General features: G+C 54.0%; 2 protein-coding genes across 9 annotated transcripts, besides 5 other annotated features; both read left to right on the forward strand.

The window, feature by feature from the left end:
• Positions 165 to 664: an enhancer, noted in NCBI's record as "active region_14262". NCBI's record gives its function as "activates an Ori minimal core promoter by ATAC-STARR-seq in GM12878 lymphoblastoid cells {active_cell/tissue: GM12878}" and the evidence as "EXISTENCE:reporter gene assay evidence [ECO:0000049][PMID:35858748]".
• Positions 165 to 883: a biological region, named in NCBI's record as "NANOG-H3K27ac hESC enhancer GRCh37_chr19:17378029-17378740".
• Positions 172 to 883: an enhancer, noted in NCBI's record as "NANOG-H3K27ac hESC enhancer chr19:17378029-17378740 (GRCh37/hg19 assembly coordinates)". NCBI's record gives its function as "activates a minimal SCP1, AML or CMV promoter by ChIP-STARR-seq in naive H9 embryonic stem cells {active_cell/tissue: H9 hESC(naive)}" and the evidence as "EXISTENCE:reporter gene assay evidence [ECO:0000049][PMID:30033119]".
• On the forward strand, positions 395 to 12289 carry BABAM1 (BRISC and BRCA1 A complex member 1). Of its 4 annotated transcripts, none has more exons than NM_001033549.3 (9): positions 395 to 479; positions 1708 to 2043; positions 4549 to 4607; positions 6856 to 6976; positions 7059 to 7137; positions 8753 to 8777; positions 9447 to 9576; positions 9775 to 9861; positions 11797 to 12289. In NM_001033549.3, exons 2-9 carry the CDS (start codon positions 1759 to 1761, stop codon positions 11998 to 12000), a joined length of 990 nt encoding a protein of 329 aa, NP_001028721.1. In that variant the 5' UTR covers positions 395 to 479; positions 1708 to 1758; the 3' UTR covers positions 12001 to 12289. The 4 variants fall into 4 exon arrangements, with proteins under 4 accessions (NP_001028721.1, NP_054892.2, NP_001275685.1 ...); NM_014173.4 differs by having other exon boundaries at positions 1746 to 2043; NM_001288756.2 differs by having other exon boundaries at positions 395 to 468; positions 1746 to 2043.
• Positions 14715 to 14764: a silencer, noted in NCBI's record as "silent region_10333". NCBI's record gives its function as "represses an Ori minimal core promoter by ATAC-STARR-seq in GM12878 lymphoblastoid cells {active_cell/tissue: GM12878}" and the evidence as "EXISTENCE:reporter gene assay evidence [ECO:0000049][PMID:35858748]".
• Positions 14775 to 14864: a silencer, noted in NCBI's record as "silent region_10334". NCBI's record gives its function as "represses an Ori minimal core promoter by ATAC-STARR-seq in GM12878 lymphoblastoid cells {active_cell/tissue: GM12878}" and the evidence as "EXISTENCE:reporter gene assay evidence [ECO:0000049][PMID:35858748]".
• Positions 14853 to 20598, forward strand: ANKLE1 (ankyrin repeat and LEM domain containing 1). Of its 5 annotated transcripts, none has more exons than NM_152363.6 (9): positions 14853 to 14934; positions 15009 to 15161; positions 15608 to 15713; positions 15816 to 15954; positions 16177 to 16914; positions 17041 to 17218; positions 18383 to 18542; positions 18633 to 18771; positions 19332 to 20598. In NM_152363.6, the coding sequence occupies exons 1-9, from the start codon at positions 14873 to 14875 to the stop codon at positions 19502 to 19504; spliced, it is 1848 nt and encodes a 615-aa protein (NP_689576.6). In that variant the 5' UTR covers positions 14853 to 14872; the 3' UTR covers positions 19505 to 20598. The 5 variants fall into 5 exon arrangements, 4 of the variants coding, with proteins under 4 accessions (NP_689576.6, NP_001265374.2, NP_001265372.2 ...); NM_001278445.2 differs by having other exon boundaries at positions 15014 to 15161; positions 16177 to 16836; NM_001278443.2 differs by having other exon boundaries at positions 14853 to 14901; positions 16177 to 16836.
• The last annotated feature ends 834 nt before the right edge of the window (positions 20599 to 21432 follow it).

Raw genomic sequence — 21432 nt, forward strand, 5'->3', positions numbered from 1 at the left:
CTCAGGCCAGCTCCACCAATCACCAATCAGCTCCTCCTCTTTCCCTAAATCGGCCTTCTCCGTCCCTCTTAGCCTATCACATTGCAAGCTCCACCTCTATTCCACGTTTCAGCCTATCACGGTAGAAGCACTGACTATTGTAGTCTGATTCGGCCAAAAACAAAAATTCACTAATTTTTTTAATCCAATCACATTTCATACTTTGCTCCAGTGTAGCCAATCACATTCCAGGTCCCGCCGCACCCAGCTCCAGGCAGCTCTCACTCCAAACCCCACCCCCAACCCAGTTTCAGCCTATCAGTTTCCAAGTTCTTTCTAGCCTCAACCAGTTTCTGTCTCTGCTTGTTCTGCAGCCCGCTGAACTACATTTCCCAGGAGGCGTCGGGGCTGCGCCGTACAACTTCCGGCTGTAAAGATGGCGGCTTCCTAGTGAGTCGGCGGCTGATTTAGAAGGAGGTTCAGGCTACGGTGAGCCGAAGGTGGGTGGTGAAAGCGTGTGGGGCCCGTTCCTAGGGGCCCAGCTCCCTTTGCCCCAAGAGATCCAGCTCCTCGCCTTTCCTGGGGCTTCCGCCTTTATTTCTGGTTTCTCCTGCAGTGTAGCCTCCATCCTTCTTGCTGCCGCTAAAGCCTTGTTTTTCTTAGAGGTGTGGGGACTGCAAGGCGCTCAAAGACCATCTTGGGAAGCCCGTGCCTATTTCCCAGATAGACAAACTGCTCCATTCGCGTCCTGTTTCTCTCCAAGGGGAACCACAGTACTAATATTTTGCTTCTCCCTCATGCAGACACCCGCTAGGGACGAGGGTGTCCTAGAGGTTATTATTCCCTTATTCACCAAGACATTTTCAGTTTTAGGTAACAGAAAACCCTACTCAATCTGGCTTAAGGAAGAAAAGGAAGTTGGTGGCTTATAGATTGGGTCTAACAGGAGCTGGGTCCAGGTGGTCAGAATTCGATCTGCAGTTTTCTCGGTGGAGACCATTTCGCTTTTTACCGAGGCAAAAGGGGCCCCTCACAGCTCTCAACTTTATTCTACCAGCTCTGCAACTCTAATGAGAGTCTCTTTTCCTTGATGACACTGCTAGAAGTTGCAGAGCTGCCACTCAATGGCCTGATTTGGGTCATGTGCCCATCCCTGAGCCATTTTCAGTGGCCAGAGAGCTGGGATGTGCTCACTGGCCGAGTAGGGGCATGGGGCTAGCACTACGTTAAAAAAAAAAAGAGGAAAAAAGAGGGGGGACTGTTATCTTATGTCGGAGTGGCTGCTCGGCTGAGAGGTGTAAAAGGCAGCCATTCTGCAGCTGAGGAAAGTGACTCCCTAAGAGGAGTGACTCATCATCAGTAAGCGGCTCATCGCCCCTCTTCCTTCTTAGTAACCAATCTTTTTTTTTTTTTTTTTTTTGAGACGGAGTTTCGCTCTTTTTGCCCAGGATGGAGTGCAGTGGCGGGATCTCGGCTCACCGCAGCCTCCCCTCCCGGGTTCAAGCGATTCTCCTGCCTCAGCCTCCCGAGTAGCTGGGATTATCCGCATGCGCCACCACGCCCGGCTAATTTTGTATTTTTAGTTGAGACGGGGTTTCTCCATGTTGGTCAGGCTGGTCTCGAACTTCCAACCTCAGGTGATCCACCTGCCTCGGCCTCCCAAAGTGCTGGGATTACAGGCATGAGCCACCGTGCCCGACCGTAACCAAATGTTTTTAAAACTCCAAGGGGAGGATTCTGGCTTCCCCTGTCCGTGTTCCATCTAGCCACACAGGAGCCATGGAAGTGGCAGAGCCCAGCAGCCCCACTGAAGAGGAGGAGGAGGAAGAGGAGCACTCGGCAGAGCCTCGGCCCCGCACTCGCTCCAATCCTGAAGGGGCTGAGGACCGGGCAGTAGGGGCACAGGCCAGCGTGGGCAGCCGCAGCGAGGGTGAGGGTGAGGCCGCCAGTGCTGATGATGGGAGCCTCAACACTTCAGGAGCCGGCCCTAAGTCCTGGCAGGTGCCCCCGCCAGCCCCTGAGGTCCAAATTCGGACACCAAGGGTCAACTGTCCAGAGAAAGTGGTAAGTAGAGGGGGTGGCCTGGGGCTCTGAGATGCTAGGGAACCTAGCATCTTGTCTTTTGGGATTAACACTGCAAACATTCCCTTTGTATTCGTTACCTGTGGCTGCCACAAGTCACCGTGGACTTGGTAGCTTTCAACAAGAGAAATTTATTCTCTCACAGTTCTTGGGGCCAGAAGTCAGGTGTCGCCAGGGCCATGGCCCCTCAGGAGGCTCTAAGGGAGGGAATTCTTTCTTGCCTCTTCATTTTGTCTGTCTTTTTTTTTTTTTTTTTTTGAGATGGAGTTTCGCTCTTGTTGCCCAGGCTGGAGTGCAATGGCACGATCTTGGCTCACTGCAACCTCTGCCTCCCGGGTTCAAGCAATTCTCCTGCCTCAGCCTCCCGAGCAGCTGGGATTACAAGTGCCCACCACAACGCCCGGCTAATTTTTATATTTTTAGTAGAGACAGGGTTTCACCACATTGGCCAGGCTGGTCTCGAACTCTTGACCTTGGGTGATCCGCCTGCCTTGGCCTCCCAAAGTGCTGGGATTATAGGCATGAGCCACTCTGCCTGACCCTTTCTTGCCTTTTCTAGCCTCTCGTGGCTCCTGGCATTCCTTGGATTGTGGCTGCATCACTCTAGTCTTTGCCCAATTTTTTTTTTTTGTTTTTTTGAGATGGAGTCTTGCTCTGTCACCCAGGCTGGAGTGCAGTGGTGTGATCTCAGCTCACTGCAACCTCCGCCTCCTGGGTTCATGCCATTCTCCCGCCTCAGCCTCCTGAGTAGCTACAGGCGCCCGCCACCATGCCCGGCTAATTTTTTGTATTTTTAGTAGAGATGGGGTTTCTTTCTTTCTTTTTTTTTTTTTTGAGAAGGAGTCTCACTCTGTTGCCCAGGCTGGAGTGCAGTGCAGTGGCGCTATCTCGGCTCACTGCAAGCTCTGCCTCCCGGGTTCATGCCATTCTCCTGCTTCAGCCTCCCGAGTAGCTGGGACTACAGGCGCCCGCTACTACGCCTGGCTAATTTTTTGTATTTTTTAGTAGAGACAGGGTTTCACCGTGTTAGCCAGGATGGTCTCGATCTCTTGACCTCGTGATCCACCTGCCTCGGCCTCCCAAAGTGCTGGGATTACAGGCGTGAGCCACCGCACCCAGCCACTGAGATGAGGTTTCACCGTGTTAGCCAGGATGGTCTCCATCTCCTGACCTTGTGTTCCACCCACCTCAGCCTCCCAAAGTGCTGGGATTACAGGTGTTAGCCACCGCGCCTGGCTGTCTTTGCCTAATTCTGTCCAGTCCTCATATCCTCATAAAGCCTTTCTCACTGTGTCTCTGTGTCTTCTCCGCTTCTGTCTCCTATAAGGACACTTGTCATCAAAACAGGATCTTATCTCAAGACCCTTACTTTAATTACATCTGCAGAGACCCTGATTCCAAATAAGGTCACATTCTTTTTTTTTTTTTTTTTTTTGAGACGGAGTCCCGCTCTGTCACCAGGCTGGTGTGCAGTGGCGTGATCTCAGCTCACTGCAACCTCCGGCTCCCTGGTTCAAATGATTCTCCTGCCTCAGCCTCCCAAGTAGCTGGGATTGCAGGCACTCACCGCCACACCCAACAAATTTTTTTTTTTTTGAGACGGAGTCTCGCTCTGTCGCCCAGGCTGGAGTGGAGTGGCACAACCTCGGCTCACTGCAAGCTCCGCCTCCTGGGTTCACTCCATTCTCCTGCCTCAGCCTCCCAAGTAGCTGGGACTACAGGCGCCCGCCACCACGCCTGGCTAATTTTTTTGTATTTTTTTAGTAGAGACCAGGTTTCACCCTGTTAGCCAGGATGGTCTCGATCTCCTGACCTCGTGATCCTCCCGTCTCGGCCTCCCAAAGTGCTGGGATTCCAGGCATGAGCCACCACGCCTGGCCTCTTTTTTTTTTTTTTTGAGACAGAGTTTCACTCTGTCACCCAGGCTGGAGTGCAGTGGCTCAATCAGGGCTCACTGCAACCTCCACCTCCCGGGTTCAAGCAATTCTCTTGGTTTAGCCTCCTGAGTAGCTGGGATTACAGGTAGGTGCCACCACACCTGGCCAATTTTTTGTATTTTTAGCAGAGATGGGGTTTCACCATGTTGGCCAGGCTGGTCTCAAACTCCTGACCTGAAGTGATCCACCCACCTTGCCCTCCCTAAGTGCTGGGATTACAGGTGTGAGCCACTGTGCCAGGCCAAATAAGGTCACATTCTCAGGTTCTGGGTGGACATGTCTTTTGGGAGCCACAGTTCGATCCACTATATCCTCATTTCTGTGTTTCTGTGTCACACATTCTCTGGCTCATTTATTTACTTATCTACTTGGACTCCCAGTTCAGTGCCCATTCTTCTAAGCCATTGCTTTTCAAAGTAGATGGCTTGGCTGAGGATTAGAGGTCACCATACTGCCTTTTCAGACAAGGCAGCTTGAAGAGGGCCAGTGAGTGGTGTGGGGGCCAACGTTAAGGTCAGAGGACGCTCACCACCCTCCAACTACCTTGCAGATTATCTGCCTGGACCTGTCAGAGGAAATGTCACTGCCAAAGCTGGAGTCGTTCAACGGGTAAGAGGGACATTTTAGGGCTTGAACATGCAGCCATGGCAGGGAGGGTCCAGCCCAAAAGATACGGGGCTCTCACTCTGAAACTCACACCAGCTTGGTCTGGCTTCAGGCTTGGCAGTATCAGAGATTAGCAAGAGCCAGGTGCAGTGGCTCATGCCTGTAATCCCAGTGACTCGGGAGGCTGAGATAGGAGGATCACTTGAGGCTAGGGGTTCGAGACTAGTCTGGGCAACATGGACCCCATCTCTAAAAAAATAAAATATATATATGTATGTGTATGTATGTATGTATTTATTTATTTTTGAGACAGGGTGTCGCTCTCTTGCCTAGGCTGGAGTGCAATGGCATGAGCTCAGCTCACTGCAACCCCTGCCTCCTGGGTTCAAGCCATTCTTGTGCCTCATCCTCCCGAGTACCTGAGATTATAGGCATGCACCACCATGCCCGTTTAATTTTTGTATTTTTAGTAGAGACAGAGTTTTGCCATGTTGGCCAGGCTGGTCTCAAAACTCCTGATCTGAAGTCATCTGCCTGCCTTGACCTCCCAAAGTGCTGGGATTACAGGCATGAGCACCCAGCCTCTAAATGTATTTTTAAAAAATTAGCGAGCATGGTGGCGTGCTCCTAGAGTCCCAGCTACTTGGGAGGGCAAGCTGGGAGGATCACTTGATCCCAAGAGTTTGAGGCTGCAGTGAGCTATGATTTTGCCACCACACTCCAGCCTGGGCGACAGAGCGAGACCCTGTCCCTTTTTTTTGTTTTTTTTTTGAGACGGAGTCTCGCTCTGTCGCCCAATCTGGAGTGCAGTGGTGCGATCTCCGCTCACTGCAAGCTCCGCCTCCCGGGTTCATGCCATTCTCCTGCCTCAGCCTCCGAGTAGCTGGGACTACAGGTGCCTGCCACCACGCCTGGCTAATTTTTTTGTATTTTTAGTAGAGATGGGGTTTCACCGTGTTAGCCAGGATGGTCTCAAATCTCCTGACCTCATGATCCGCCTGCCTCGGCCTCCCAAAGTGCTGGGATTACAGGTGTGAGCCACCGCGCCCAGCCGACCCTGTCTCTTTAAAAAAAGGAAAAAAGAAGCCGGGCTTGGTGGCTCATACCTGTAATCCCATTACTTTGGGAGGCCAAGGTGGGCGGATCACGAGGTCTGGAGTTCGAGACCAGCCTGGCCGACATAGTGAAACCCCCACCTCCACTAAAAATACAAAAATTAGCTGGGCACGGTGGTGCGTGCCTGTAATCCCAGCTACTCGGGAGGCTGAGGCAGGAGAATCGTTTGAATCTGGGAGATGGAGGTTGCGGTGAGCCAAGATCGCGCCATTGCACTCCAGCCTGGGCAACAAGAACGAAACTCCATCTCAAAAAAAGTAAAATAAAATAAAAAAAGAGTAGCAAGGACAACTGGTAATGTTAAGGCTATGGCCCATTGAGGCTCCATTCATAGCAATGAGTTGGAGACGCCAAGAAGCAAAGTGACTTGCTCAAGGGCTCAGAGTAATGGGGCAGAGCCAGGATTCGGACCCAGGCCTGGCTGGCCCTGAAGCCCTTGTCTGGAGTCATGTGCTGCCTGCAGCTGTATCTGGAGTGGGGGGCAGTTTGGGTTGCAGGACCTGGATGGGGCTTGAGGACCTCCTTGGAGATGTTGAAGGTGACACCTTCTTCCCCTCAGTGGCATTCACAACTGCCCATGGCTGAGCAAAGTTCCTGCAATGACTCTAGGGGAAACTTGAGCCCCATGCTGCGCAGAGGGACCCATTTGGAGAGGGCAGGAGCTCCGATGTCAGCCAGACTGGGTTTGTGGCTGAGCTCCGCCACACCCCTGCAGTATGACCTATACCTCCAGGGCCTTATCATGCAGGGTTTTCAGAGGAGGGTGGCTGAAGGAAGTTTTTTTTTGTTTGTTTTGTTTTTTTTTTTTTTTTTGAGACAGAGTCTCACTCTGTCGCCCAGGCTGGACTGCAGTGGCGCGATCTCAGCTCACTGCAACCTCCGCCTTCTGGGTTCAAGCAATTCTCTGACTCAGCCTCCTGAGTAGCTGGGATTACAGGCACTCGCCACCACGCCTGGCTAATTTTTTTGTATTTTTAGTAGAGATGGGGTTTCACCATCTTGACCAGGCTGGTGTTGAACTCCTGACCTCGTGATCCACCTGCCTCAGCCTCCCAAAGTACTGGAATTACAGGCGTGAGCCACTGTGCCCGGCCCTGAGGGAACCTTAATTCCCCTGTACTCTCTGCCTCCCCAGCTCCAAAACCAACGCCCTCAATGTCTCCCAGAAGATGATTGAGATGTTCGTGCGGACAAAACACAAGATCGACAAAAGCCACGAGTTTGCACTGGTGGTGGTGAACGATGACACGGCCTGGGTGAGGCTGCGGCAGGCGCTGGGTGCCCTGGGGTCCCCTGGGGCCCGGGGAGCATCGCACTGAGGCCTCTGCTTCCCTGCAGCTGTCTGGCCTGACCTCCGACCCCCGCGAGCTCTGTAGCTGCCTCTATGATCTGGAGACGGCCTCCTGTTCCACCTTCAGTATCCTTCCTGGCAGAGATGTCCCCATGAAGGGGGCTGTCTCCTTCTGTCATCCTTGGGGCCCAGGAAAGTCTAAGTCATGACTCTGGCTGGCTGAGGTTCAGATCTCAGATCTGCCAAGGCTGGGAAAGTCACCCCTCTGAGCCTCAGTTTCCCCATCTGTACTGTGGAAGGCACAAAGTTGCCTACCCCATGGAGATGCTGTAACAATACAGAAGCAAAAGTACCTGATTTGGTCCGGGCATGGTGGTCCATGCCTATAATCCCAGCGACTTGCGAGGCTGAGGCACAAGAATCACTTGAGTCCGGGAGGCGGAGGTTGCAGTGAGCTGAGATCTTGCCACTGTACTCCAGCCTGGGAGACAGAGTGAGACTCCGTCTTTTTTAAAAAAAAAAAAGAAAGAAATACCTGATTTGTATTCAGGAGGTCCAAAATTCATGCACAAGGGGATCACCTCACACAGGACTGGGCATACAGTCAGTGCTCAATAAATGGCAGTGTGTGACAGAAGTGTCACCATTGTTCCTACAGCCACTTGAACCTGGGCGCAGGACATTTTATGGTAATTTGGACATAAAAGGCTCATGTGTGGCCCAAAACTGAAATAGAATAGGACTCTCGTAAGTTAAAAAAGGAATAAATGGTGAGAGTTTTTTCCAGGAGGACAAGACACCCCTGGCTCTTTTCATTTTGAGGAGAGTGGCCCCAGCCATGCAGGAAAGGGGACCTTTTTTTATTTTTGCTCCTGTTGCTCTTGTTGCCCTGGCTGAGTGCAGTGATGCGATCTTGGCTCATTGCAACTTCCACCTCCCAGCTTCAAGCGATTCTCCTGCCTTAGCCTCCCAAGTAGCTGGGATTACAGGTGTGCACCACCACACCTGGCTAATTTTGAATGTTTTGTAGAGATGGGGTCTTGCTATGTTGCCCAGGCTGGTCTTGAATTCCTGGGCTCAAGTGATCAGCCCACCCCAGCCTCCCAAAGTGCTGAGATTACAGGCATGAGCCACCATACCCGGCCCCATTCTGTTTTAAAACATAAATTAGATTCCATCCCATCCCATCTCTGCTCCAAAACCTCCCATGGCTCCCTGTGGATCTTATTTATTATTATATTTTTTTTTGAGATGGAGTCTCGCTCTTGTTGCCCAGGCTGGAGTGCAGTGGCACGATCTTGGCTCACCGCAATCTCCACCTCCCGAGTTCAAGCAATTTTCCTGTCTTAGCCTCCCAAGTAGCTGGGATTACAGACATGTGCCATCAGGCCCAGCTAATTTTGTATTTTTAGTAGAGACAGGGTTTCACCGTGTTGGCCAGGCTGGCCTCGAACTCCTGACCTCAGATGGTCCACCCGCCTTGGCCTCCCAAAGTGCTATGATTGCAGGCGTGTGCCACCATGCCTGGCATACCAAGAGTCTTAAAGTCATCCGGTACCAGCATCCTATTTTGTGATCCATGCTGAGGGGAATTTGTGTGTCAGAGAGGGCAAGTGACTTGGCCAGGGTCACATGGTGCGTCCCTAGGGGTGCCGGGTCTCCTCTGGTATCGGGATCGGGGAAGCCACCTGTTTCCCGCTCACTCGTGCTCTACTAGCCTTCTCCTTAGCACCCCCACCAGATCTGGAAGGACTTTTCAGCCTCATGTAAGTCCCCTGTGGGGAAATTCTTATTCACCTTCAAAGAGAAGGGTCACTTCTGGGAAAAAGCTCCAAACGGCACAGAAGTAATCTAGGGAGCCTTAAAGCCTCCTCCCTTCCTACCTCGCCCCGAGCAATTCCTCATTTATGTGTGTCTTGGGAGCATGGGGGCTGGTGGAGATGCACATGCTGCTAGGCAGCTCCAGCTGACGGCAGTGATGGGGGATGTTCAGGACACTGAGGGTGGCCGGGCCCAGTGGCTCAGGCCTGTAATCTCAGCACTTTGGGAGGCCGAGGCGGGCAGATCACCTGAGGTCAGGAGTTTGAGACCAGCCTGCCCAACATGGTGAAACCGCGTCTCTACTAAAAATACAAAAATTAGCTGGCCACCTGTAATCCCAGCTACTTGAGAGGCCGAGGCAGGAGAATCGCTTGAACCTGGGAGGTAGAGGTTGCAGTGAGCCGAGATCTCACCATTGCACTTAGAGGGGTGGGGCTGGGAACATGCTCAGGGCAGAGGGAACCGCTTATGGGATGCCTCACAGGCAGCAGTGAACTTGGGAGACATCAGTGGGGCCTCACCTGCCCGGTGAGCATCTGGGGTCTCTCTCAGGGTGATAAGAGGGGCAGACCCCCACAGGCTGCTCTGACTGCTCCCTCCTCCCGGGTATGCAGCCAGCAGAAAACTGAGCTTCCGGTCACAGAGAACGTGCAGACGATTCCCCCGCCATATGTGGTCCGCACCATCCTTGTCTACAGCCGTCCACCTTGCCAGCCCCAGTTCTCCTTGACGGAGCCCATGAAGGTGGGTGAGGCCTGGGAGAGGGAGGGGTGCCTGCAGCCATGAGGATGGTGGTTAGACACCAGGAGGGACTTCCAACCACAGAGGCTGGGGTGCCTAGAGGTAAGTTCCCAGAGTCTGAGGCAGAAATGGGGGAGCTATAGTCATGGGGCACGGGGTGACCCAAGCCCCAGAGGCTGGTGTTCTTTACTTCCCCTGCAGAAAATGTTCCAGTGCCCATATTTCTTCTTTGACGTTGTTTACATCCACAATGGCACTGAGGAGAAGGAGGAGGAGATGAGTTGGAAGGTGAGAGGCTGCAGCAGGTGTGAGTAGCAGGCGGGTGTGGACAGGATGTCTTGGAACACACCTGCACTGGGTCTGGGGGTCTCTACCTCCATTTGATACCCCTGGAACCCTGGTTGGGGTAGGTCATGGCATTGGTCATTGAACAGCCGTTTCCCAGTTGTCTGCTGTGACTGATGGGGTGGCAGCCATTGGGACGATGGTCCAGGCAACATGTTGAGTCCTGCCTCCCCCATCTCCAACGTTCCCTGCGTTCCTTTCTTTCTTGCTTGCTTGCTTGCTTTTCTTTCTTCTTCTTTTTTTTTTTTTTTTTGAGACAGAGTCTCCCTCTGTCTCCCAGGCTGGAGTGTAGTGGCATGATCTCGGCTCACTGCAACCTCTGCCTCCCGGGTTCAAGCAATTCTCCTGTGTCAGCCTCCCGAGTAGCTGGGGTTACAGGTACCTGCCATCATACCAGGTTAATTTTTGTATTTTTAGTAGAGACGGGGTTTCACCATGTTGGCCAGACTGGTCTTGAACTCCTGATCTCAGGTGATCTGCCTGCTTCAGCCTCCCAAAGCGCTGGGATTACAGGTGTGAGCCACCACGACCCGCTCCCTCTTCCCTTTCTTCCTGCCTTTGACCTCGCTGCACCCTCAGCCTGGAGCATCCATCCCTCTTGGACTCCCCAGGCCCTGCTGGGCCTTCACATCCCAGACCTGAATTAGCTGTGGGACCTCGAGTGGACTACTTACTTCTCTGAGCCTCAGTTTACCCAACTATGAACAGGGAATTGAGACCAGCTCCTCCTTATATCTCAGTACCCAAATCAAAAGTCCCCCCTCTAGCCAGGCGTGGTGGTGTACGCCTGTGGTCCCAGCTGCTCGGGAGGCTGAGACAGGAGGCTCGCTAGAGCTCGAAAGGTGGAGATTGTAGTGAGCTGTGATGAAGCCACTGCACTCCAGCCTGGGTGACAGGGCGGAGACCCTGTGTCAAAAAATAAAAATACGGCCAGGTGTGGTGGCTCACACCTGTAATCCCAGCACTTTGGGAAGCCGAGGCGGGTGACTCACTTGAGTTGGGAGTTCGGACCAGCCTGACCAACATGGAGAAACCCTGTCTCTACTAAAAATACAAAATTAACCAGGCGTGGTGGCACATACCTATAATCCCATCTACTCAGGAGGCTGAGGCAGGAGAATCGCTTGAACCCGGGAGGCAGAGGTTGCGGTGAGCCGAGATCGTGCCGTTGCACTCCAGCCTGGGAACAACAGCGAAACCCTGTCTCAAAAAAAAAATTAAAAAAATAAAATAAGTAAAATAAAAAGTCCCTCCTCTTGAGAAGCCCTCCCTGTTTTTCAAGAAGGATCAAAGTGGGGGCCAGGAGAATGTGTCTGTATCTGACTGTGTGCCTCCACACTGGGGACTCTTTTTTTTTTTTGAGGCGGAGTCTCGCTCTGTCGCCCAGGCTGGAGAGCAGTGGTGTGATCTCGGCTCACTGCCAGCTCCGCCTCCCGGGTTTGCGCCATTCTCCTGCCTCAGCCTCCCGAGTAGCTAGGACTACAGGTGCCTGCCACCACGCCCGGCTAATTTTTTGTATTTTTTAGTAGAGACGGGGTTTCACTGTGTTAGCCAGGATGGTCTTGATCTCCTGACCTTGTGATCTGCCCGCCTCAGCCTCCCAAAGTGCTGGGATTACAGGCGTGAGCCACCGCGCCCGGCCCACACTGGGGACTCTTTGGGGGCCATGACTGGGACCTCTTCAGATCCTTAACACTGGGTCCATGGCGGGGAATGTTTGCTGAATGTGTGAATGGTTTCTGCTTGGCAAACTCCTCTTCACCCTTTAGAACCCACCCCAGATGTCCCCTCTTCTGAGAAGCCCTCCAGGGATATGAAGGGCCTGTTGGGGTAACCTCTGCCTGAACAGCCCTTCACTGACCCCCGCCTCCCCGGCAGGATATGTTTGCCTTCATGGGCAGCCTGGATACCAAGGGTACCAGCTACAAGTATGAGGTGGCACTGGCTGGGCCAGCCCTGGAGTTGCACAACTGCATGGCGAAACTGTTGGCCCACCCCCTGCAGCGGCCTTGCCAGAGCCATGCTTCCTACAGCCTGCTGGAGGAGGAGGATGAAGCCATTGAGGTTGAGGCCACTGTCTGAACCATCCCTGTACATCTGCACCTTCTTGTGCAAGGAAGTCCTTGGCCTAAAGCCTTGGTTCTCAAACTGGGTTCCTTGGGACCTCCGGGGTGGGGGGGTTCCAGGAGGCACGTAGGGTACCTTGCAGGGTCCTAGGAGGGAAACCCAGGATTCCAGGAGGGATCCCAGGAACTGTGGGCACCCATTTTCTGTGTCTCCCAGCCCATTTCCACTCCTAGTTTGTCATGGATAATTTTTGTTCTTCCCTGTGTGATTTTTGCCATCAAAATAAAAATTTGAGACTCGTTAACCGAAGTCCACGCCAATCACTTTGTGTTAATGGGGATCATCTTCATTGCAAGTGATGGAAAACTTAGCCACTGAGCAAAGGTGAGTGGCTGCTTTCTTGTAGATGAAAAAGCCCCGGGATGTGGAGGTTGCAGCGAGTTGAGATTGCACCACTGTACTCCAGCCTGGTGATAGAGTGAGAGCTTTTCTCAAATAAAAAAGAAAAATTCAAAAATAAAAAAGATGAAAAAGCCAAGAGAACAGCTTCAGGCTTGGCTGTGTCCAGGTGCTAGGACAACATTGCCATTTGGGAGGGTACTACATGGTTGCTAGTCAATGTGCCCTGCTTACCCCCCAACCAATGGAAAGGTGTGTGATGGCTTCAACCACTCCCCAGACCCCAATCCAGGTCAAGGCAGAGTTCTCTCAGCATCTGGATATGATTGGACTCCCCCGGGGGGATACATGACCTTCAATTAAGAGCTAGTCATGTACCAGGGTTGTGTGATGTTCTGATGAGCCAGGCCTGGATCATACATCCCTAAGGGGGAGGTTTAAGAGCTCCATCAGCAGTACTGAGGCCATGATAGGAGGGTTGCTTGAGGCCAGGAGTTCAAGACCACGCTGGACAACATAGCAACATTTCCTGTCTCTACAGGAAATGCAAAAATTAAGCCAGGCTCGGTGGCTCACGCCTGTGATTCCCAGCTACTTGAGAGGCTGAAGTGGGAGGATCACTTGAACCTAGGAGGTCGAGGCTGCAGTGAGCTGTCATCGCGCCACTGCACTCTAGCCTGGGTGACAGAGCAAGACCCTATCTCAAAAATAAACACAAACAGCTTTATTGAGTGACTGCTTTTCCTCCCTATGAGCATTTTTTGGAACCTATCGTGTGTCAGGCCCTTGTGCCCAAGCCCCTGTTCAATCCCCGCATCAACCTCGTTAGGATTCTCACATTTTGCAGATGGGACACTAAGACTCTCAGAGGTCCAGCCCTCCAAAATACTGAAGTCCTAGTTCCGCTGGATTGAAAATGGGCAACGCAGAACGGGGACTGGAAATTTTTTAAAAATTGTTTTTAAAGACGGGGTCTTGGCCAGGCGCAGTGGCTCACGGCTGTAATCTCAGCACTTTGGGAGGCCGAGGTGGGCGGATCACAAGGTCAGGAGTTCGAGACCAGCCTGACCAACATGGTGAAACCCCGTCTTTACTAAAAATAAAAAATTAGGCGTGATGGTGCATGCCTGTAATCCCAGCTACTGGGGAGGCTGAGGCAGGAGAAGCTGTTGAACCCTGGAGGAGGAGGTTGCAGTGAGCTGAGATCACACCACTGCACTCCAGCCTGGGCAACAAGAGCAAAACTCCGTCTCAAAAATAAATAAATAAATAAAACAAAGACAAGGTCTCCGCCTGTAATCCTAGCACTTTGGGAGGCCGAGGCGGGCGGATCACCTGAGATCAGGAGCTCAAGACCAGCCTGGACAACATGGTGAAACCCCATCTCTACTAAAAATACAAAAATTAGCCGAGAGTGGTGGCACATGCCTGTAATCCCAGCTACTTGGGAGGCCGAGGCAGAATAGCTTGAACCTGGGAGGCAAATGTTGCAGTGAGCCCAGATTGCGCCACTGCACTCCAGCCTGGGCGACAGGGTAAGATCCGGCTCAAAAAAAAAAAAAAAAAAAAAAAAAAAAATAGGGCCTCACTCCGTTGCCCAGGCTGGTCTCAAACTCCTGCACTCACTAAAAGAAAAGAAAAGCAACAACAAACTAGTAGGCTCAAACGATCTTCTCTCCTCAGCCTCCCAAAGCACTGTGCTTAAAGGCGTGAGCTGGGCCCTCGGCCTGGGGGTTGGAAATTGAAGCCTCTATTTTATGTATTTATTTATTTTCTGAGACAGAGTTTTGCTCTGTTGCCCAGGCTGGAGTGCAGTGGTGTGATCATGGCTCACTGCATCCTCGAACTTCCGGGCTCAAGAGATTCTACCAACTCAGCCTCCCAAGTAGCTGGGACCACAGGTGCAAGCCACCCACGCCCGGCTAGTTTTTTGTATTTTTTTGTAGGGACTGGGTTTATCCAAGTTGCCCAGGCTGGTCTCGAACCCCAGAGCTCAAGCAACCCTCCTGCCTGGGCCTCCCGAAGTGCTGGGATTACAGGTGTGAGCCACCGTGCCCGGCCTAAGCCTCTCATAAGGCCGTGCTCCCTGCCAGAGGCCACCCTTGAAGAAGATTCCCTGAGACTTAATGACCTGGGGCACCCCGGACTTTCTTAATCGTAGCTCCACCCACTCGAGCCGGGTGCCTTCGCGTTTCCCGTTTTTAAATGAGATAGTGGCACACCCGGTGGCATCCTCCCACCCGGGCTCTTATCGGCGGTCCCAGACCCTGCTTGAGCGCCTCCGGGTGTCAAGGGCCCCTGAGGACACTAAAGCTCTCGAACCCCGATGTGGACCCCCGTGCGGCGCGGGGCAGCCTGGCTGGGAACCCTGCTCGGCCCTGGAGAGGGGCCCCCCGAGCCGAGGGGAGGAGCGGCGCATGCCCACAAGCCCCCCGCGGGAAGTAGGAAATCGACCGACCAGGCGGTGCGCTTCGGACCCAGCCAGGGCATGTGCTCGGAGGCCCGCCTGGCTCGCAGGTTGCGGGATGCGCTGCGGGAGGAGGAGCCGTGGTGAGGGCGGGGCCGGGGGCGGGCCAGGAGTGGGGGTCTTTGGCCGGGGTCCACTCTGACCGCGGTGTTTGCAGGGCAGTAGAGGAGCTGCTGCGCTGCGGCGCGGACCCTAATTTGGTGCTAGAGGACGGCGCAGCGGCTGTGCACTTGGCGGCCGGAGCCCGGCACCCGCGCGGCCTGCGTTGCCTCGGGGCCCTACTGCGCCAAGGCGGGGACCCCAACGCTCGGTAAGATAGAGCCTGGGTCCGGGGCGGGGTCTCCCCAAGCCGAAGTCTGGGAATCCGGGAAGGGGCGCCCCATCATCCCGGGCCAGGCCTCGGGGCTCGAGGGTGGGGTTTAGGGGATCTTGGGGAGGGAACTTGGGGGTCCAAGGGCAGGGGCTAGGGCTCGAGGGAGGCGCTGGGGTCCCAGACCGAGGGCGTGGAATGGGGCTGCGCTAGGACCAAAGTGGGGATCAAGGGTTCGGATATTGGAGTGGAGGCACCAGGGTCAGACGGCAGAGGTTTGGGTCCTGGCCTGAGGTCATAGCATCTAGGTTCCAAGGGCAGTGTACCAGGGTGGACGGCGGAGATCCGGGAGGCCGAGAACGAAGGCTCCAGGTCCCCAGAGCGGAGATCGGGGTTCCTGCCGGGAGGCTGAGTCCGCAATGACCCCTCTTGCGCTGCCGCCCCAGATCTGTCGAGGCACTGACGCCGCTGCATGTGGCCGCCGCGTGGGGCTGCCGCCGCGGCCTGGAGCTGCTGCTGAGCCAAGGAGCGGACCCGGCGCTGCGCGACCAGGTTGGGAGGCACTGCGCGGGCAAAGAAAGGCTGGGTGAGCCCAGAGGGAGGGAAGGAAGGTAAGAGGGCCTCGGGCGCCCCCTGCTGACCGCGCCCCTGTAGGACGGACTCCGGCCGCTGGACCTGGCCCTGCAGCAGGGACACCTGGAGTGCGCGCGAGTCCTGCAGGATCTCGACACGCGGACCAGGACCCGGACCCGGATCGGGGCAGAGACTCAGGAGCCCGAGCCTGCACCTGGCAGTGAGTAGGGCCTGCAGGGCTGCTGGGGCTTGACTTCTGGACCAGTCCCTGACATCCAGGGTCTTCCCCACCCCACCCATTGGTTCTGACCGTCTCACATCCACTATTTGTGGCCAGCTCTTTCGGCCTCAGACACTCTGATCTCCTTTTTCTGTTTGATCCTATTCTCATCGCTGTCTCATCCCTCCTCCTCTCCTCTCTGGCCCCCACTCTCACCTGCAGCCCCAGGCCTCTCTGGACCTACCGATGAGACGCTGGACTCCATAGCACTCCAAAAGCAGCCATGCAGAGGTGACAACAGGGACATTGGCTTGGAGGCTGACCCAGGACCCCCCAGCCTCCCTGTTCCCCTTGAAACTGTGGACAAACATGGGAGCTCGGCGTCCCCTCCAGGGCACTGGGATTACAGCTCAGACGCCTCTTTCGTCACAGCGGTTGAGGTCTCTGGAGCTGAGGACCCAGCCTCGGACACTCCCCCCTGGGCTGGGTCATTGCCACCGACCAGGCAGGGACTTCTGCATGTTGTCCATGCCAACCAGAGGGTACCTAGGTCTCAGGGCACGGAGGCAGAACTGAATGCCCGTCTGCAGGCCCTGACTCTGACCCCACCAAATGCTGCTGGCTTCCAGTCCTCCCCTTCCTCCATGCCTCTCCTGGACAGGAGTCCAGCTCATAGCCCCCCACGGACACCAACCCCTGGAGCTTCTGACTGCCACTGCCTGTGGGAGCACCAGACATCCATTGATAGTGACATGGCCACGCTCTGGCTGACAGAGGATGAGGCAAGCTCTACAGGTGGCAGGGAACCTGTCGGCCCTTGCCGGCACCTGCCAGTCTCCACTGTGTCTGACTTGGAGTTGCTGAAGGGACTCCGAGCACTTGGTGAGAATCCTCACCCCATCACACCCTTCACCAGGCAGTTGTACCACCAGCAGCTGGAAGAAGCCCAGATTGCTCCTGGTTAGTCTTCCCAGGGCACATGGAGTCCAGGGAGCCTCCAGGAATCTCCCGGAGAACCCCAGCTCTCAGCCCCACTTTCCTCCCCATCTCAGAATCATCCCTTCCTCCATCTCCCTTGACTTCCAGGCCCAGAGTTTTCAGGGCACAGCCTAGAACTGGCTGCAGCCCTGCGGACGGGCTGTATTCCAGATGTCCAGGCAGATGAAGACGCGCTGGCCCAGCAGTTTGAGCAGCCAGATCCTGCCAGGAGGTGGCGGGAGGGGGTCGTGAAGTCTAGCTTCACCTATCTGCTGCTGGACCCCAGGTACTCAGGGCAGGAAAGCCCCAGAAATAGAAACTAGAAAATTTGGGGATTGGTTTTTATTTGCTGTGTGCCCTTAAGAAAGGGACTGGCCCTAGAATCATCAGCTGCTTCTTCTTCTTTTTTTTTATTTTTTTAAGACGGAGTTTCACTCTTGTTGCCAAGGCAGGAGTACAATGGTGCCGTCTCGGCTCACTGCAACCTCCACCTCCCAGGTTCAAACAATCCTCTTGTCTCAGCCTCTCAAGTAGCTGGGATTACAAGCACCTGCCACCACGCCCGACTAATTTTTGTATTTTTAGTAGAGACGAGGTTTCACCATGTTGGCCAGGCTGGTCTCGAACTCCTGACCTCAGGTAATCCACCCACCCTGGCCTCCCAAAATGCTGGGACTACAGGTGTGAGCCACCGCACCGGCCTCTTTTTTTTTTTTTTTTTTTGAGGCGGAGTCTCACTGTTTCGCCCAGGCTGGAATGTAGTAGCGCAATCTTGGCTCACTGCAACCTCCGCCTCCTGGGTTCAAGTGATTCTTGTGCCTCAGCCTCCCAAGTAGTTGGGATTACAGGCATGTGCCACCATGCCTGGCTAATTTTTTTTGTAATTTTAGTAGATATGGAGTTTCACCATGTTGGCCAGGCTGGTCTTGAGCTCCCAGCCTCAAGTGATCCTCCTGCCTTGGCCTCCCAAAGTGTTGGCATTACAGGCATGAGCCCCGGCTGGCCATGGTGGCTCACGCCTGTAATACCAGCACTTTGGGAGGCTGAGGTGGGCGGATCACCTGAGGTCAGCAGTTAGAGACCAGCGTGTTCAACGTGGAGAAACCCCATTTCTACTAAAAATACAAAATTAGCCAGGTGTGTTGGTGCATGCCTGTAATCCCAGCTATTCAGGAGGCTGAGGCAGGAGAATCACTTGAACCCAGGAGGTGGAGATTGCAGTGAACTGAGATTGTGCCATTGCACTCCAGCCTGGGGAACAAGAGTGAAACTCTGTCTCAAAAAAAAAAAAAAAGAAAGCTGCTGAATGTCTTTGGGGAGCCGCTGACTCTCTCTGATCCTGTAATCAGGAGTCACTAGACATGGGTTCAAGATATGTTGTGACTTTAAGGACTGCCTCTGGGGACCACTGTATCCACTTTTCCCTGTCTGAGCTATCCCCTTCATCCAGGGAGACTCAGGACCTGCCAGCCCGAGCCTTCTCACTGACCCCAGCTGAGCGCCTTCAGACTTTCATCCGTGCCATCTTCTACGTGGGCAAAGGGACGAGGGCCCGGCCATATGTCCACCTCTGGGAGGCCCTTGGTCACCATGGGCGGTCAAGAAAACAGGTGTGAGGACAGGGATCAGGGTTCAGCGAGGGCAGTCGGGCCATGGGCAGGGGAGGGTATTGGGGGTGCTGACTCCTGATTCTGCCCTAGCCCCACCAGGCCTGCCCCAAGGTGCGTCAGATCTTGGACATCTGGGCCAGTGGTTGCGGTGTTGTGTCCCTACATTGCTTCCAGCACGTGGTCGCTGTGGAGGCTTATACACGGGAGGCGTGTATTGTGGAAGCCCTAGGTGGGTGCCTGGTACCTAGAATGGGGGTCATATGAAAGGCATTTGGCTTCCCAGTTCCCTCATTTTTTTCCTTCTGAGGGGTGTTCATTTGTTGACTGAGCAATTATTGAGCACCAACTTTGAACCTGCACATGCATGTATTTTGCTCCATTGGTTTATCCCCACTCAAGGGCAATACACATTGGGTTTGCTGTCACATACTTTTTTGTGTGTGTGTGAGACTCTGTCGCCCAGGCTGGAGTGTGGTGGCGTGATCCCGACTCACTGCAGCCTCTGCCTCCCAGGTTCAAGTGATTCTTGTGCCTCAGCCTCCCCAGTAGCTGAGATTACAGGCACATATCACCATACTGTGCCAAGCTAATTTTTGTATTTTTTAGTAAAGACAGGGTTTCACCATGTTGGCCAGGCTGGTCTCGAACTCCTGGCTTCATGTGATCTACCCAAAGTGTTGGGATTACAGGCGTGAGCCACCATACCCAGCCGCCTGCTGTCACACACTTCTGCTGGATGGGGAGGTGTCCCCATGGCTGCCCCTGTGACCCCACATCCAATTTCTCCAGGGATCCAGACGCTCACCAACCAGAAGCAAGGGCACTGCTATGGAGTGGTGGCAGGCTGGCCACCTGCTCGTCGCCGGCGCTTGGGGGTGCACCTGCTGCACCGTGCCCTCCTTGTCTTCCTGGCTGAAGGCGAGCGACAGCTTCATCCCCAGGACATCCAGGCCCGGGGCTGAGTGCTGGGGAGTTGGCCATCCAGCCTGGGGAGAAATGTTTGAATGTTCCAGCTGCCCCATGCTGACAGCAGCCCCCATCTCTGGTTTCAGAAGGGGTGTGTGTGTGTGTGTGTGTGTGTGTGTGTGTGTGTGTGTGTGTTTGTGTGTGTGTGTGTGTGTGTAGGGAGCACCCAGGCAGATCTCCCCCAGGCTGAGAGAGGACTTTGTTACAGATGGTACTGCTGGAGAGGTAGTAAGTAGTGAGCTCCCCATCGTGGGAGGAGGACAAGAAGGGAAGCAGAAGGTGCTTTGGAACAGTCCGGTGCTTCTGTAAGAGGCGTTTGAACCTGGGCAACTCCACCTGGAATAGGAGCTGGGTAAAATGAGGCTGAAACCTACTGGGCTGCATTCCCAGATGGTTAAAGCATTCTAAGTCACGGGATCAGGTAGGAGGTCAGCACAAGATAACGGGTCATAAAGAACCTGCTGATAAAACAGGTTGCAGTAAAGAAGCCGGCCAAAACCCACCAATACCAAGATGGCGACAAGAGTGACCTCTGGTCGTCCTCATTGCTACACTCCCACCAGCGCCATGACAGTTTACAAATGCCATGGCTGGCCAGGCGCGGTGGCTCACGCCTGTAATCCTAGCATTTTGGGAGGCCAAGGAGGGCAGATCACCTAAGGTCAGGAGTTCAAGACCAGCGTGGCCAACGTGGCGAAACCCTATCTCTACTAAAAATACCAAAATTAGCTGGGCATGGTGGCGCGTGCCTGTAATCCCAGCTACTAGGGGGGCTGAGGCAGGAGGATCGCTTGAACCCAGGAGGTGGAGGTTGCAGTGAGCTGAGATTGTACCATTGCACTCCAGCCTGGGCAACAGAGCGAGAGTCTGTCTCAAACAAACAAACAAAAAAACAAATGCCACATCAACATCAGGACGTTAACCTTTAGACCCTATATGGTCTAAAAAGGGGAGGCATGAATAATCCACCCCTTGTTTAGCATATCATCAAGAAATAACCATAAAAATGGGCAACCAGCAGCCCTGCCCTGTCTATGGAGTAGCCATTCTTTTATTCCTTTAGTTTCTTAATAAATTTGCTTTCACTGTACTCTATGAACTCGCCCTGGATTCTTTCTAGCGTGAGATTGGAGAACCCTCTCTTGGGGTCTGGATCGGGCCTTTCTGGTAACACTTTGGCAGCTTGGTGCTGTCAAAATGGATGGAGCCTGCCAGGCGCGGTGGCTCACGCCTGTAATCCCAGCACTTTGGGAGGCTGAGGCAGGTGGATCACAAGGTCAGGAGATTGAGACCGTCCTGGCTAACATGGTGAAACCCCGTCTCTACTAAAAATACAAAAAATTAGACAGGCATGGTTGCAGGCGGCTATAATCCCAGCTACTCGGGAAGCTGAGGCAGGAGAATGGCATGAACCTGGGAGGTGGAGCTTGCAGTGAGCCGAGATTGTGCCACTGCACTCCAGCCTGGGCAACAGAGCGAGACTCTGTCTCAAAAAATAAATAAAATAAAATGGATAGAGGCTGCTTTTACCGCCCAGACATGGGACACCCACATGGCGGGTTGGACTGGGGGATCCTCAGCTGCACTCAGGATATCTACCCAGCTCAAGAGCCAAGTTCACTGCTACCCAGCCGTGAGACCTCTGATCAGTATTTTATCTGCCTGAGCATCAGTTTCCTTGGTTGTACAGTGGAGGCAGTAAAGAGGTCCTACTCCAGGGGATCATTGTAAGGTCATGTTGGGGCTGGGTGTCACGCTTGTAATCCCAGCACTTTGGGAGGCTGAGGCGGGAGCATAGCATGAGCCCAGGAGTTTGAGACCAGCCTGGGCAACATAGCAAGACTCTATCTCTACGAAAAGTAAAAACATTAGGCGGATCTGGTGGGTGGGCCTGTGGTCCTAGCTGCTTGGGAGCCTGAGGTGG

Source organism: Homo sapiens, chromosome 19, assembly GCF_000001405.40.
Source record: "Homo sapiens chromosome 19, GRCh38.p14 Primary Assembly".
NCBI classification, from domain to species: Eukaryota; Metazoa; Chordata; class Mammalia; order Primates; family Hominidae; genus Homo; species Homo sapiens.